This window comes from Homo sapiens, chromosome 12, assembly GCF_000001405.40.
Source record: "Homo sapiens chromosome 12, GRCh38.p14 Primary Assembly".
NCBI classification, from domain to species: Eukaryota; Metazoa; Chordata; class Mammalia; order Primates; family Hominidae; genus Homo; species Homo sapiens.
Genome location: NC_000012.12, coordinates 1,523,704 through 1,540,552, shown reverse-complemented (window position 1 = coordinate 1,540,552; position 16,849 = coordinate 1,523,704). Strand labels below are relative to the sequence as shown.

General features: G+C 52.4%; 1 long non-coding RNA gene across 1 annotated transcript, besides 4 other annotated features; it reads left to right on the top strand.

Moving 5' to 3' along the window:
- Positions 6,496-6,645: an enhancer, noted in NCBI's record as "active region_5799". NCBI's record gives its function as "activates an Ori minimal core promoter by ATAC-STARR-seq in GM12878 lymphoblastoid cells {active_cell/tissue: GM12878}" and the evidence as "EXISTENCE:reporter gene assay evidence [ECO:0000049][PMID:35858748]".
- Positions 6,796-6,995: an enhancer, noted in NCBI's record as "active region_5798". NCBI's record gives its function as "activates an Ori minimal core promoter by ATAC-STARR-seq in GM12878 lymphoblastoid cells {active_cell/tissue: GM12878}" and the evidence as "EXISTENCE:reporter gene assay evidence [ECO:0000049][PMID:35858748]".
- On the top strand, positions 8,361-12,830 carry LOC107984507 (uncharacterized). The gene is made up of 2 exons (NR_160736.1): positions 8,361-8,447; positions 8,782-12,830. It is a non-coding gene; the product is annotated as an uncharacterized LOC107984507 (long non-coding RNA).
- Positions 10,009-10,118: a silencer, noted in NCBI's record as "silent region_4113". NCBI's record gives its function as "represses an Ori minimal core promoter by ATAC-STARR-seq in GM12878 lymphoblastoid cells {active_cell/tissue: GM12878}" and the evidence as "EXISTENCE:reporter gene assay evidence [ECO:0000049][PMID:35858748]".
- Positions 10,209-10,458: a silencer, noted in NCBI's record as "silent region_4112". NCBI's record gives its function as "represses an Ori minimal core promoter by ATAC-STARR-seq in GM12878 lymphoblastoid cells {active_cell/tissue: GM12878}" and the evidence as "EXISTENCE:reporter gene assay evidence [ECO:0000049][PMID:35858748]".
- Positions 12,831-16,849: the final 4,019 nt, after the last annotated feature.

The following is a 16,849-nucleotide window of genomic DNA, read 5'->3' as shown; positions in this document are numbered from 1 at the left end:
GAAGGTGACAGGAAACAAATATTCTGTTTGGCAAAATACAAAAGTGCATTTCCAAGTGAACACCAAGTTAGGCACCAGGAAATGACAACAGGTCCCCTTAGTAAACAGTGATCAATTACCTTATTTCACCAAACCTAAGATGCTACTGATTCTAGAATGCACCATTATTTTGTACCACCAAGAAAGAAAAGTACTTGTCATCAAACTGTCATACAATATTGATTCTGAGATGCATTCTGACCTCAGATATGTTGAAATGCATCTTAATATCGATGAAACATGGTAATTATGGCTGGATTTCTTGAACCGGGGAGGATAACCTGTTTAGAAGTCACTAGCTCATTAACGTGTCAATATGGCTGAGCAGCAGCAACGCCGAGTGGTGGGATTATCAGTGAGGAGAGAGGAGCCCAGACAAGGAGGACATCACTCCTGCCATCCAGGAACCCACCTCTTGGTTGGGAGGACTGTCCAGGAAAAGTCCAAGAGCCTGGAGCTGCAGACCTCTCAACAGGTCTTCGGTAAAAGCAGCTGTCATGGAAGTGAATTCTCAGGTCTCCTTTGTCTCCTCAATCATCAAAATAAACCAAATTATAAAACACTCTGATCTTCTGCCTAAATTCCGACAAGGTATTTCAGAATCTAGGTGTCAATTTCTTGACACTTTTACTTTTTTTCAATGAAGTGTTAAAGTGGGACCTAACATTGACTAAGTACATGATACATGTTAGGCATTGCCCTAATTCACAAAATTATCACATTTCATTCTCAAAAATGACCTTAGGAGTTGGGCATTATTATCCCTGTTTAAACAGTGAAGAAACTGGAGTTCAGAAAACCTAAATGGGCAAGGCAAGCCAATTAGGCTTGAACAGCTGAGTTAGTTTAAACCGAAGTCCCCCTGAGCCTCAAGGCCATGCGCTTTCCACCGGACAGGACGGAAAGCACGGGCTCGCAAAGACTTGTAAAAGCTTGAAAATCACCGCCAGACTAGCCAAGGAAGGCTGATACCCCAACTACACAGTAAATACCAAAACCTCTTCTGCTACAGGACACCTCGTTCAACTTGAGGACCTGTTTAATCAGCAGGGTGGCCGTTCATGGGTGAAGAGGGTAGCGGCATGGTCCACCTGGGAGCAGCGGGAGAGATGGCCTTGTGAGGGTGGGCCCAGGGACAAACAGCTAGTGAGAAAGCTGCTGCCATAATTCACATCAGCTCCCCAACGGCCTGCCCTCGGCAGTAGCATGGAAATAGGATGTAAAACGGATAATAAATCCACAGGATTTAGGAGAAACAAAAACAAGGGAAGACTGTCAGGAAAAAAACAGAGGCATTTTGGAACAGCGGTCGTCTCCCAGGGTGACTCTGCTCCCTCCCGCTCTCCCCACGGGACATTTGGCAATGTCCAGAGACATTTTTGGTTGTCATCCTTCGGAGTGGGGTGCTACTGGCATCGTGTGGGTAGGGGCCAGGTGTGTTCTCAGACATCCTACAATACATGGAGCAGCCCTCTTCAACAAAGAATTATTGGGTCCAAAATATCCATGGTGTCGGGGCTGAGAAACCTGACTCTTGAACAACCTTAAGGAAACAAAAGTGGTGAAGACATTGCCCTTACCCAGCAGCTCATCAACCAAAAAGGCAAAGAAATCACAGGGACTGGCTCTGCATGGACTCCAGGTGCTCACCAGGAAACAGATCACGCACTTGTCCAGCCATCCCTGTGATCTACCACTGTGTGCACCCGATCCACGCCAGGCTCAAGAGAGGAGCTGGAGAGGAGGAGAACAGGCACGGTGCTGGCCCTCAAGGTGTCACCACCTGTCCGGAGGAGACGCGCATGTGTGGAAACACACACCTGAGCCTGTAAATACATGTGTGCTTGTACACACAGGCAGAAAAAACCGAAAAGGAATGCACCAAAATCCTACCAATGATAACTCAAAATCATCATTTTCTTCATATTTTCAATGAAAATATGAATGAATTAAAAAATGAAAAAAAGTCAATGTTTTTCAGTGAACATGTTATACTTTCATCAGTTCTGATAAAACAGGCATATCCCAGGGCCACATGTTCTCGCCAGCTGCCCCACCTCTATGGTATGGCAAAGGAGGCCAAGATGGGGAGGGAGCAACGGAGCAGAGGAAGAACCTACGATTTTGTTTGCTTGTTTTCAGACAAGGTCTCCCTCTGTCACCCAGGCTGGAGTGCAGCAGCACAGTCATAGCTCACTGCAGCCTCAACCTCCCAGGGTCAAGGGATGCTCCCACCTCAGCCTCCCAAGTAGCTGGGACTACAGGTGTTCACCACCACACCCAGATACTTTTTAAAATTTTTTGTAGAGATGGGTGTCTTGTTATGTTGCTCAGGCTGGTCTAGAACTCCTGGCCTCAAGCCATCCCTCCCAAAGCACTGAGATTACAGGAATGAGCCACCACGCTCAGCCTGTTCCCACTGTTAACACTCTTCCCTGCCAACAGGTGAAACCGCTGTCTTTCATCCACTTAAGTCCTTCAGCAAATGTTCACTGAACACCCACTGCGTGTCAGGCACTGTCCCATGTACTCTTTAAGATACAACAGTGGACAAAACAGACAACAACCCCTGCCCTTGTGGTGTTTCTGTTTTAGCAAGGGGAAGCAGACAGAGGACCAATAAGGGAAATATAAAATACCTGTATGTTCCATGGGTATAACAGAGAGAAATAAAGCAGAGAAGAGGGCTAGAGAATGATGAAAGGGTTATGATCTATATAGGAAAGTCACAGAAGTCCTCGCTAGGGTGAGGTCGCAGAGGTAAGTGGGGGCTGCCCACCAAGGGCTTGCAAGCCAGTGTGAGAACTTGGCTTTCTCCTGCATGAGATGGAAGGCCACTGGAAGGTTTTGAAGAGAAAAGTGACAAGATCTGACATATCACACAGGATTGCTGCCCTAACTAACTCAGAAAGACCAATTAGGAGGTGCCTCCTAATGAGCCGGGATGAGAAGGGTAGAGGAGGTGAGAAGTCATCAGGGTGCTGAGAACGTTCTGAATTTGGATTTGGCAAGAATCACTGATGGATTCGATGTCAGAAGGGAGAGAAGGGAAAAGTCAAGACTGACTCCAGGGTTTACAGCATGAGCAACAAGGAGGATGAGATGGAGAGGGCTATGGGAAGGCAGGGACGAGCTCAGAGGCATGTAATTCTGTAGAGGAGGTGCTGCTTCAGCAACACCGGTCTGGAGTTCAAGAGAGAGGAGCAGGCAAGACACAAAACCATGAGGTTCCTAAGGGTAGAGACAGTACTTACAACCATCAGAGTGTACAGTACAGTCACACGTCGCCTAACAACAGGGATACATCCTGAGAAACGTGTCATTAGGCAATGTCATTACTGTGTGAGTGTCACAGAGTGAACTTACACAAACCTAGATGGTAGAGCCTACTATACACCCAAGTGAGATGCTCTAGCTGATTGCTCCTGGGCTGCAAACCTGCACAGCATGTGACTGTACTGGATACTCTAGGCAGCTGGAACACAGTGGTAAGTATTTGTGTATCTAAACAAATCTAAACATAGAAAAGGCACAGTGAAATATCTTATGCAACCACTGTGGTCTATGCAGTCCATCATTAACCGAAACATCTTTATGCAGCGTATAACTGTACATAGAGAAGACAAGAGGTCCAAAGAGATAACCAGGTGAGCTGCTGCCGATGAGCAAGAAGAGAAACTGGAAGAGTGAGATGCTCTGGAAGCCAAGTGAAGGTCGTACAGCAAAGGGGAGGCAATGGGCCAGCAGTGGTGGCTCACACCTGCAATCCCAGAGCTTTGAGAGGCCAAGGTGGGAGGATCACTTGAAGTGGAGTTCAAGACCAGCCTGGACAACATAATGAGACCCTATCTCTACAAAAAATTTAAAAATTAGTCGGACACGGTCGTGCGTGCCTGTAGTCTCAGCTACTCACGAGGCTGAGGCAGGAGGATCACCCGAGCTTAGGATGAGCTTTGGTCAGGCTGGTCTCGAACTCCTGACCTCAAATGATCCTCGGCCTCCCAAAGTGCTGGGATTACAGGCGTGAGCCACCTTGCCCAGCCTAAAGCTGATTTTAGATATGACTTCACAGAGGTTACCTTTTTAAGAATAACAAAATGCAACAAGTTAAGATTTTGGGTGACTTCCAAATCCAGGGAACATATCAGCATTTGCTTAGTTAAAACGACAGATGCCTCTGAGATGGGGTCAGCAGGACCCCCTCCTTTTCAGCCAGGGACTCGCCGGATTCTCAACTGCGCAGGACCACGTCAGCATTGAGCTCTCCTCTCCCATCGACCTGCCTCCCTCTTCCTTCCCTTCATCAATATCACCACAAAAGCTGTCGCATCTAGAGCCCCACAAGGCTCCAGGCATGGTCCAGATGCTTTATGTACACTAGTCCTAACCACCACATACCACATAGAGATAGGTATAAAGTTACGGTTTCCAGTACACAAGTAAGAAAACAGAGACACAGAGAAGTCAGGTAACCTGCCCTACCTCAGGTGACGCAGCTGTGCTGGGGTTTGCACCCAGAAGTCTGCCTCAAAAGCCCTCCTCGTCCCAGCATATACCCTATCAATGCAACTGAAAATGCCCCCTCTTCCTTCACTCACCAGCCCCCGCTCCCAAGGGTGATATTCTAGTTCTCAATTTATATACACAATCTCTTTAAAAGTTTAATTGCTTTGATTGCAGGTCTCATACCCCCAAACAAGATTTCTAAGAAAATTCAGTAATTCTTTACTCAAAATTTCTCAGGAGAAACTTCTCAACAAATACTGGTGAAATCTATAACCTTAGGGAGGAGTCTATGACAGGCACTCAACTTTGCCCCAACCTCCCAGAGCAAGACAAGCCTCCTGTCATCTGGGGGATATTCACCGGTAAGAAAAATGGGTGCGGGGCCACTGGCCTCTTGCCCATGTCCATCCACTGGTTAAGTTCAGGAAGTGTCACCAGTGAAGGCACGACACCAGCAAGAGCCCAGGAGCTCAGGGCTGCTCTGTGGCTGCGCACCTTCGGTTCTGGGCTTGACCTCTTTAAGAGGAGCCACACTGAGAGCAGCAAACAGGATGACCACGAGCTGGCCTCAGAAAAGCTTTGTTACTTTAGATTTTTCATAACATTATATTTTTATGTTACAGTTTTTGCTTCCACAACAGGACTCAGAGCAAATCCAACAATTAATCATTTGCAGATAACTCTAAAGTGACTTTTGGGGGCTAAAGTGTGTAAACCAAGAACTTTTGAGTTCACTGCCTTTTCTAAGCCAAGGCCAGCTATCGTTTCCCAGGCCTCAGTAAATCCACTGTATAAATCAGACAGGAGTAACCTTTTAGGAGTTAGCATTTCTGGGGCTCTAGGAGGCTACAGAGGAGACTGTATACCCCTTTAAGAAAGGTTGGGGTGCCTCCCCCTAGAACTCAGGCACCAGCCCCAAAGTCACCCAAAGCTGGAGACAGAGGCTTGTCATAATCTCCCAGATGCCAGCGAACCACAGAGGCCCCTGGCAGGCCCAAGCCCAAAGCCAGGAGCACAACCTGAGCCTCCAGCTTGACCACAAACCCTGCCTCTGAGACCACGGCTGGTGAAACAGTAACTCTGTGAAAGCAGCAGGCCCAGAGCACCCCCCACCCCTCTGGTGGGGACACTCCAGGCCTGTCCACAGCAGAGGGATTCCCAAACCTGAAAGAGCTCGAGCTGTTCAGAGTGACAGGATGTTAGAGCTGGAAGGGGCCCCTGGGACCAACTAACCCAATGCTCTCACTTTATAGAAAAGACAAGCAAGGCTGGGCAAGGTGGCTCATGTCTATAATCCCAGCACTTTGGGAGGCTGAGGCAGGAGAATCACTTAAGCCCAGGAATTCAAGACCAGCCTGGGCAACATAGTGAAACCCAATTTATACAAAAAATTAAAAAAGAACAAAATTAGCCAGGCATGGTGGTGCACGGCTCCTACAATCCCAGCCACTGGGGAGACTGAGGTGAGAGGATCACTTGAGCCCAGGAGGTCGAGGCTGCAGTGAGCCATTATCATACCACTGCACTCTAGCCTGAGCAGCAGAGAAAGACCCTGTTAAAAAAAAAAAAAAAAAAAAAAAAAAGGAAAGAAAAGAAAATATTACTGAGATCCAGAGAGAAGCTACCGTGTGCACCCCAACCCACTCAAACACCCTCCCCAGCAAAACCTCAAGAAAAGACAGTGATGCAAAGGACAGGACATCCAGGTGGGTTGGTTTCTTAGGGGAGCTGGAGGTTTGGGGTGCCAAAGACCTTAGAGAATGCCCCTGTCCCTTTAAGGGCTGCACTGCTGCCAGCACCCTACGTGCTTACTCAAAGGGGATCCGACAGCCCGGCAGCCAGGCTGGGTAATGATTACAGTCAGCACAGCCCCCTGAGGACCTTAAATGACAGCTTGAGTCTAGGCTTCCTGTGATCTCCGTGCACAGTATCTGGAAGGGTTAGGGGAGAGCATCTTCCCCCAGTACCGAACCAGGTTCCAACTCACCCAGGAGGAAAGAGATGGGAAGAAAGCCACATGGGTGGAGAAGCAGCGGGGAGAGAGACCAACTTTAGAAAGCCTAGAAGAGGACTCATGCAGCACAAAGAGACCACACTGCAACCACAGGGGCGAAGAAGTCAGGAAATGCTGCCGCAGCAGCCAGCCCAGTGGCGAGACCGCAAGCCAGTGGCTCAAACTGGGATGGAGGGGGCGGAGGTTTAAATTTAGCCAGGTAAACAGAGCCGGGCCAGGGGTGGAGAGGGCCTGGTAGGGGCTGTGCAGTCACCTGCTCTCCAGAGTTGGGGCATTTCTCGCTGAAGGGAACAGTCCAGCCAGAACTGTACCAAACAGCGGATCCGTTTTCAGGGTTCCTCCAGCATGCTGCTTGGGGGAGCACACAGGCTGCGCCCCAGAGATGGACAGAAGGTTAGTTTTACTTTAAAGGGTGGCTCAGATTTAAAATGAGCATGTCTTTTCATCTTGATGGCAATATCGATGCACAATCCCTCTGCTGGATGTTTCTGGACTCGTAGATAACGGTGAAGACGCTCAACAGAAACCAGCCAAGGCTGCCCGTAAGTGGAGCTCCCACATGCTCTCATTGCCCAGAGGGCTTTTACATCTACTGCTGTTGTGTGTCTTCAGAGACCTGATGGAGTTACCCAACAACCAGTAACTACCACCACGACCACACACTCTGAGGACTGCATCCAGGACTAGCGCTGGAGCAAAGATGGGCTCTGAAGACCTGGTTAGAAGATGAAGGAGATAAATGGCAGGCGGTTTGAAAAGGAGCCAGAGAGAAAAAGCTCTCGCTGACACGAGAGCTTTTTTGGACTGACTGGTTTCTATTTCAGAGAAGACAAGGACTATCACCACACGTAAAAACTTCCCTCCATGCTAGAGAAGCCAGGCTGCGGCAATCCAGAAAGCAGCAGAACCATCCTAGAATTAAAAATTAGAACAGACCAGCCTAGTCCTCTGCCTTTCTTGACCTTGAAGAAGAGCAAACAAAAAATCTTTCAGCTGCCCCTAGAGTCAGAGGGTGAAATACACAAGGGAAGAAGAATTCCAGATTTTTTCTTTTCGCAGCATATGGCTCCCAGCAATTTTGGCAATATCCCTTTAACTTATGCTTTTTGGACAGAAAAAATTTTAGAAAAGGGTAGTTTCAAGTCAATAAGAAACCCCTGGTGATATTACAATCACCAAATGAACTAAAGAGGGGACCGGTTTCAGATACCTTGGAGAAACACACAGACACACACGCTCAATCACCTATTCATATTCAAATACATAAGATATCAGAGCCTGGGAAAGTATGAAATCCATGGGTGGAAAAAGACCAGCCAGCTCCTCCGAGCCTGGCTCCTGCTCCCCTGGCAGGCAGATCCCACAGAGTGTCACACGCCCTTGGCCTGACTGTCTTTAAGAAGAGAAAGAAAGGGAAGGGGAGATGTCTCTCCTGACTGCCTTTGGGTATTGACCCATCCATTGTCACTTTAGGTTCCTTTACTCCCTTCACGTCCTGCCCTGTTGTCCGCGCCACCTGCATCTGTTAGTAAAAAGCCCTGGTTTTAATTGTGACCCTTCCCTTGGACTGCTGGACTTGTCATCACCATGAAGACGCCAGCTCCATCACTCCTCTCACAAGGGTGCCTAAGAGGTCTCTTTCAGCACTGCCATCCTTCCAAGGAGACACACCTCCTCCTTCTTGCTATTTATAACCACGAATCTTGTGTGTCAAAGCGAGAACAGACACTATTTTGAGATGGAGGAAAACCACCCCTCAGTCTTCCACCTCTAATAGGTCGGTGTGTTTGCCAGGACCTGTGTGTGTGAGCCTAGGCAGGGGTGCGGCTGCAAGCTCCAGGTCTGGCATCCGCTCGTCTGTGCCTGAGATGGGGAGTCTTGCCTTTGCGTAAGTGAATTCTGCCGGTTAATCGGATGGCAGGAGAGGCTGGGTGCAGGAAAGGGTCCTTAGGCCTTCTGAGGGCGTGCCCGCTGCTGCCTGGGCTCTCCGTTGCCTTAGGGGCCAGCCACAGGAGGGGGCTCCCTAGGCTTCCCCCGTGTGCCTGGACGAGTGCTGGTGGCTGGCTAGCGGCTGCCCCTGCCCTGCCGAGCCAGGGTTTTCGGCTCCACACTGACGGCACGGGCACAGACGTCCCATCGCAGCTCTGGTGACTGGGCACATTCCGGGGCCCCTGGAGCAGTCTGGGGGGTTGATTCCACGATCCCTAGTTTTTCTCCTCCAGGTACCAGGCTGAACCTCTGCCCAGGGGAGTAGCAACTGGAAGCTGTTGCCAACGTGGCCAGGTGGCAAAAGCAGTGAAGAAGGGCCCGGGTGAAGTGGAGGGGACACCGGACACACACACACCCCTTCAGCTGAGTAACCAACGCAGGGCCGGGGCCACCTCAGTTTCCCTCCCTGTAAAACAGGGCCGGGCAGGCTCCCCGCAAACCGAACTGCCTCTCCCAGCGGTCTGCAGCAAATACCCGGGGGTTCGGCTCCGACTGGAGCGCGGGCTACGCGTCCACCGAGGCTCCAAGAAAGTGAAGGAGGAGGTCTCGTCCCGCCTCTCCCACGGCGGGGACGTGGAGCGCCGGAGCGACCGGAGAAGCACAAAGCCGAGCGGCGCTCGGGCTCTACCTGCGCGGTCCGGGCAGAAACGCAGGCTCCCACCCGCGTCCGGCGGGTAAAGTAACCCAGATGGGGTCCTCGATGCCGGCGCAGACCTCGGCGGAGGGTCGGGGCTGGGCCCGACCAGACCCGGGAGAGTGAGCGCGAAGCTCAGAGGCCGCCCCGCCTGCGCCGCCGACCCCGGAGCCTCCTATGCCTGCCCGCGCGAGGGCCCGGCGGTCCCCAGCTTTGTTCGCCGCCCCGGCCCGGGGCGACTCCCTTCCCCCGACCTGACCCCGGCCCGCCCCGACCCGACGCCCGCGGCGCGCAGACCCACCCGGCGGACACCCAGCGCGGCCGCGGGGCCGGGAAGGCGGAGGAGCCGCGCGAGGTTCGGCAGCCGGGGCGGCGGCGGCGGCGGCGGGGCCGTCCCCGGGGGCGAGGGCCGGCGCTTACCTGCATGTCCCGCCGCGTGTCAGGCCCGCGGGCTCCGGGCGCCGCTCGGCCCGGCCCGGCTCTTCCTGCGCCCGGCTGCGCTGGGTCGGCGGGCGAGGCGCGGCCCGCGGGGGCGCAGGGGGCGGCCGGCGGGGCCCGGGGCAGACCCTGCCCGCTCCTCTCAGCGCGCGGGCCGCTCGGGCCGCCGCCTCCGACTCTTCATCCGCGGCCGGGGCGCGGGGCTGGCGGCGCGGGCGGGCGTGCTCGGCTCCCGGGGTCCCGCCGAGGCGTCTCGGGCCCCCCCCCCGATGCTGGGGCAGCCTCCGAGGTGTCCACCGGAGCCCGGCCAGGCAGCCCCGGCGCTCGGAGTCTGCGCGCCCTCCTGCCGCCCGGAGGGCTCCCTGCTCCGCGCCGGGGACCCCCGAACTCAGCGGGCGGGGACGGTCGGGGGCGCGCAGCCTGCGGCCGATCCGGAGGGAGGCCCTGGGCCCGAGGCGCGGGCTCGGGAGGCCGCCGTCGATCTCGCCGGGCTGCGCGCCCTGCTCCGGAGCGCGGGACCCGGGGAAGTTTCGGCCCAAGTTGGCTGCGGGGCGGGTGGCGGCCGCGGCTCGGAGTGCAGGGCCCGGCGCTGGGCGAGTGGATCCTGGGGGCGCCGCCGCCTCCGCCCCGCCTCCCGCGCCTCCTCCCCGCCCCCGACAGCCGCGCCGGCCCCGGCTCGCTCCTGCCCACCAGCCGGGCCGCGACACCCTCCCGAGGGCTCCTCCCAGGCGCTGGGACCGCGACCTCCGCACCTGCCTCCCGCCCGGCTCCCTCGGCCCCTAAGCAGAGCGGCCCGGGGGCCTCGCCGCGGGGGTGCGGACGGGGAGTCTCCGCCGCCCGGCCCCCTTCTCCCGGCGCCGCACGCCTGCTGCCCCCTTCTCCTGGAACTCGACCCGATCCTCCGAAGAAACCGCGGCTCTTACCCCGGCCAGCAGCCCCCTCGGGGCGCCCAAGGAGCCCGTACCCGCGCCCCGCGATCCTGGCACGAGCGCCCACCTCGGCGTCTGCGGGGCCCGAGGCTCTGAGAGGGGAAGAGAGTTATGTCCTCCGCTTTCTTGCTACGCGTCCTCCTTTGAATCCCCCAAGGAAGTAGAGTGACCCGGGAACTACTTTGCCGCTTCGCAAACCCAGGTCATCCCCCTCGCAGTCCTGGGCCCTTCCCTACAGAGCCCAGCTCAGAAAGATCCCTGGGTTTGGGAAAAATGAGGCAGAAAGGTTTCAAGGAGCAAACGTGTTCTCTCAATACTTTCGTCATGGATATAGGACTAAATAATTCTCCTGATGTTTTATGGAGAAAATGAGGCACAGGAAAGTCTGACGACCAACCCATAGTCACTGCAGGGGCTAATAGCTTGAGAAGGTCACTAGAGTCCAGGGCTCGGCCTTAGTTCAGATCCAAGTTTAAATGCTTTTCTGGAAGTCCCATGTCCTTTTGTAGGTAACCTCATAGCACCTCTGGGTGAGCTGCCCAAGAGGGTGTCCAAGGAGGTGAAGTGGGTGAGCTAAGGTCCCAGTGGAGGCAGGAGCTGCTGGTCCCTGCTCCAGACCCAGGTAACAGGGACCAACCGAGAGCAGCCAGTAGGATCCCAGGCCTGCCCTCCAGCCCCTTTGCTTTTACATTCTGAAAAACCCAGTCTCTTCCCTGAGGAGGAGGTCGCCCTGCTAAAGAAATTGCCTTCGAATGCAGTACAGTGAGGGGAGGGAAAATACAATAGTAATAATCAAAGGCTTTGCCTTTTTAAAATTAGTAACCAAACAAGGTGACAGCCTCCCCCTTTCAGTGGGGGAAGGGGCAGCAGGGAGGGTCAGGGAATGGATGGGACCAGGAACCCACCACACTGGGCAGGCAATAAGGAGCTATTGTCCTCTGGATTTTACAACAGGTAAGAGCTGTTGTAGCAAATACCCCACTAATTAGAGGGCAAGGTTTCCTTGGAACTGTGCTGGCTTGGGCCGGAGGTGCACCGTGACTTTTCTCACCTCAGGTGCACTGTGACTTTTCTCACCTCGGAGTGAATGAATGGGGTTTATGAGACCAGGTCCAGCAACCATAAATGCATGGCCTATAATTGTTGTGGGGAGCCTGCCTGCTGCTGGAGGGAAGCTAGTTCAAGGCTTTATCTTGGGGACAGATGATATGAGGAGAGTTGGCCTAAAGCAAGCAAAAAAGCTTTGAATCCGCTTTGCCAAATTTCAAGCAGGCTCAGTTTCTCTCTTCCTCAGAATAAAACATCAGTTCTAGTGTTAGGGTCTTTTTTTTTTTTTTTTTTTTTTGAGACAGAGTTTTGCTCTTGTTGACCAGGCCGGAGTGTGGTGGCACAATCTCGTCTCACTGCAACCTCCTTCTCCCGGGTTCAACTGATTCTCCTGCCTCAACCTCCCAAGCAGCTGGGATTACAGGTGTGCGCCACCGTAGTAGAGACGGGGTTTCACCATGTTGGCCAGGCTGATCTCGAACTCCTGACCTCAAGCGATTCACCTGCCTCGGCCTCCCAAAGTGCTGGGATTACAGGCGTGAGCCACTGTGCCCGGCCATGGAGTTAGGGTCTTCGTGGGAGGTCGGGGGGAAGTCTTGTTCCCCAGACCCTGATTACTCCAGAATGCAACATGGGAGAAACTGAAGATTCGCTTCATTTGTTGAGCCCTAAACACCCAGAGATGAATGAGACCAGTTCCCACCTTCAGGAAGTTTACAGTCTGAAGAATGAGGTGTGGAGAGGCCGACCTCTAATTTGAAGCCTAGAAGAAGCAACAAGGGATGACTTTGCTTGGCCCTGAGCTGACAGTCTAGGATGAGAGCAAGTGACAGACGACAGCAACCCCAGCTGAATGCTCTGTAAGTCCCCTACCCCCACCATCTCTGTCCAAGATGAGTCAAAACTTGTGGCACAGGGAGGGAAGCTGCAGTGCCCCCGGGAAAGGAGCTTGTGGCTGAGTAGCTGGGAAAACGTTTGAATGAGGAGACAGCAGAGACGTGGGCCAGATTCCCCAAGGGAAGTGGTAAGCACCCCATAGCTTGAGTCACTGGACTGCTGGGGCAGCTACCTCCAGCTCTGAAGGCAGGCACTGATGGGAATGCAGACAAATCTCACCCATGTTTTGTCTGTGACTGTTGGGTGGGGTCTCTTGCCTTCTCTGCCAAACAAGGCATATTCCAATTTGGCATTTGTGATTAAAAAGAAAGGACACAAGAAAGTAAGGAAGGAAATAGAAGAAAAAAAGAGAAAAGAAAGAATATTTGGCCCTATGCAAATATGTAATGATCACTGCTCTTTTTATTGAGGACACTGCTCCCCACTCCTGGTCATGCCCTCGCAGGCCCCCATCCACACTCAGAGGTCCCTTCCCAGCCAGAAAGTCTAACGAAAACCCTATCAGAACTAGTCAGAGAGGAGGCTGAGACTCCTGCGTGGCTGGGATCTCAGTGGCTTTCCTGCCAGGTGCATGTGGGGCTGAGTGCTGGTCCTCAGGCATGCTCTTCGGTGGACTGCTCCGTTTCACCACCCCCAGTGCCAGGGGGAGGAGCTTCAGAACACTGCTGTCCAGCCGCCTCTGGGTGCAGGAAGAAAGTACCCCTGTTGCAGGGCAACCCTCTACTCCATCCCAGTCTGCTTCTCTGGCACCTTTCAAAGGTGTTCTTTAAGATGCACAGAAGGCCTGGCGCGGTGGCTCACGCCTGCGATCCCAGCACTTTGGGAGGCCGAGGCGGGCGGATCATGAGGTCAGGAGATTGAGACCATCCTGCCTAACACGGTGAAACCCCGTCTCTAGTAAAAAGTATAAAAAATTAGCCGGGCGTGGTGGAGGGCACCTGTAGTCCCAGCTACTCGGGAGGCTGAGGCGGGAAAATGGTGTGAACCCGAGAGGCGGAGGTTGCAGTGAGCCGAGATCGGGCCACTGCACTCCAGCCTGGGCGACAGAGCCAGACTCCGTCTCAAAAAAAAAAAAAAAAAAAAGGACGCACAGAAAATTTCTTGGGGGAACTGATGAGCCTTCAAAGCCCAGAACAAGAGCGAGAGGCAGAGCTAATAATAACCTTTTATCCCGACAGCTATTTCACAGGCACTTGACCCCATTGCCTGTGGTACTGTGTTGTTCAGTGCTCAGTTTCTGCTCGTTGTCTGGACGTAACATAGAAGTCACGGTTTTGCTAAGAAAGAGGGCTTTTTAAAAACTGGCAGAATCTGACCCAAATATCCAGACACTATCCATAGATTACCGCCACAGACTCACAATAGCCAAGACAATTTGGGACAGCTGGATCGGGGGATTTCTAAGTGCTGAAGGCAGCAGGGTTGGTAAGAAGGAAGCTGCTATCATGAGTTCTAATCTGGCTCTGCAGTGGACCTGTAGAGGAAAAAGTTCATACCAGGATGTCAGCAGCATAAAGGAATTTTTATAAAAGCAGAAGACCGTTCTTAATACCTCATATGTGCATAGAGCTTACCAGTTTATAAACTGCTTTTCTTTTTTTTTTTTTTTTTTTTTTTTGAGACAGAGTCTTACTCTGTCACCCAGGCTGGAGTGCCGTGGCATGATCATGGCTGACTGCAGCCTCAACCTCCCATGCTCAAGCGATCCTCCCACCTCAGCCTCCTGAGTAGCTGGGACTACAGGCACATGCCACCATAGCTGGCTAATGTTCATATTTTTTGTAGAGACAGGGTTTTGCTATGTTTCCCAGGCTGGTCTCAAACCCCTGAGCTCAAGCGATTCTCTCACTTCGACCTCCCAAAGTGCTGGGATTACAGGTGTGCACCACTGTGAGTGGCTGATATGGTTTGGCTGTGTCCCAACCAAATTTCGTCTTGAATTCGCACGTGTTGTGGGAGGGACCCGGTGGGAGGTAATTAAATCATGGGGCAGGTCTTTCCGGTGCTGTTCTCCTGATAGTAAGTCCCATGAGATCTGATGGTTATTATAAGGGGAAGTTTTTCGGCACAAGCTCTCTTTTTGCCTGCTGCCAACCACGAAATATGTGACTTTGCTCCTCTGTGCCTTCTGCCATGACAGTGAGGCCTCCCTAGCCATGTGGAAGCGTAAGTCCAATTAAACCTCTTTCTTTTGTAAATTGCCCAGGCTCAGGTATGTCTTTATCAGCAGTGTGAAAACGGACAAATACAGTGGCCCTCTAGTTTTATCTTAATGAAGATTCATCAGAATGATGACAGCCTTACTCATCTCACTTGGAAGGCTCTCCTCTAGCCACCTCTCCCCAAAAGAGAAGTTAGTGCCCCTCCAGGGAGAAGACAGCATGGTTGCTGAGCAGGGCGCCAGGTCAGTCCTCAGAGGTGAACTTCAGACTCAACACCTGTGTGATCTTGAGCAAGACACTCATCTCTCTAAGCCTCGGTTTTCTCATCTAAAAGGTAGCAGTGGTAAGATCACCTATCTATGGCAATGTGAGAAGTCGAAGAACACACATAAAGAATCCAAGTACTGGCTGGGCATGGTGGTTCACGCCTGTAATCCCAGCACTTTGGGAGGCTGAGGCGGGCAGATCACTTGACCTCAGGAGTTCCAGAACAACCTAGGCAACATGGCAAAACCCTGACTCTACAAAAAACACAAAAATTAGGTGGGTGTTTTGGTGTGCACCTGTAGTCCCAGCTGCTCAGGAGGGTGAGGCAAGCGGATTACTTGAGCTCGGGAGGTCGAGGCTGCAGCGAGCCGTGATTATACACCACTGCACTCCAGCAGCCTGGGCGATAGAGTGAGACCCTGTCTAAAACAGACAGAAAAAAGGAATCCAGTACTATTTATTACACGTAGTATATGTTCAATCAGTATTAATAATTGCATTATTATGATTGAATAGACGTGACCTCATTTTCTGTTGTCCACTCTAATGGGATGCTCTATCCTTGAACTCCTCCCAAGAGAAGACAGAATCCTAAATTGTCCCTTTAATGAATTACTGCTTTACTAATACCTAGAATGAAGCAGTTGAAGGTGTCACTAAAAACTGGCAAAATCTGGAGACTCTAGCCAATTGCAATGGGAAGAGTTTCATCATTTCATCAGTACCACTCGTCAAGGTCCCATAAAGAGAAAATGGGGGCCGGGTGCGGTGGCTCACGCCTGTAATCCCAGCACTTTGAGAAACTGAGGTGGGAGGATTGCTTGAGGCCAGGAGTTCGAGACCAGCCTGGGCAACAAAGTGAGACCCCCCCCCCCCATCTCTTAAAAACAAGCAAACAAACAAAAGAATGGCGAGCAAATGGGAAAAACTAATGAATGTGATCCTGTTAATGAACTACTCAAATGCTTGACCAAAAAACAAGGCACTCTTTGGAATTATGATTGACAAGAAATACCATTTTCCCTTTGGAGACTCTAACATCCCCATATGCCTCCTTTTTCCCTCATCTCAACTTTGACTGAAGCCCTTTAATGCTTTCTATACTGAGGGACATTTCAGAGGAAACGGAGACAGGGTGCCTGCCCTCAAGGAGCTTTGTTCTTATAGTGGGGCCAGGACACAAGCAAATGGAAATGAAATGAACATCAGATGCCCAGGCCACATGCGTCTGGTGCCAGAGCCCCTGGCGGCTCAAGGCCATCAGGACTAAGGGTGGTGGCCGAGCTTCTCCTTCCCTCTCTCTTACTAAGGAGCTGGTTTCCCCTGGGGAAGGTCACTCCCCTTCTTGGATCCTCACCTGTAAAAAGCATGGGTCTAAATACTCCCCAAGAGTAAACAAAGCTATGATGGAGTCAAAGGGGAAATGGAGAAAGATGGAGGTTTGAGAGGAAGACAGTGAATCTGACTCCAAGACACTTACTTTTAAGGTCAAGGGGGCATTCAAGTGTTGACGGCAAGAAACAGGGAATGTAAGGAGCGTTAGAGGTCAGGGTGGCTGGAGGTGCAGTTTCAAAAAGTGAACTGATAAATACGAAGGCCAGAGGGCAAGGCGAGAGAGATGGCGGAGTGAGCAACCTGTGTAGACAGGGCCCACAAGTTTAGGAAGAGGAGAGCGCAGACTGGAGGGTGCAGCAGGGAGCCCTCGGGTCGAGTGATGTGTGCTCCACAATAAGAGAGCCACAGTAAGACACGCACAAAGGCAGAGAGAGGCAAAGCCAGGAGCATTGGCCGTTCCTGTTGGTAGAGGGGGCTGGGAGCAAGGAAGAGAGGGCGGCAGGAACTCAGCAGGGGGCTGGCATTCCAGAGCGAGAGCAGCCCCTTCTTCCTTCCTCTCCAGAGACTGTTAGGACGACAGAAAATGCAGATA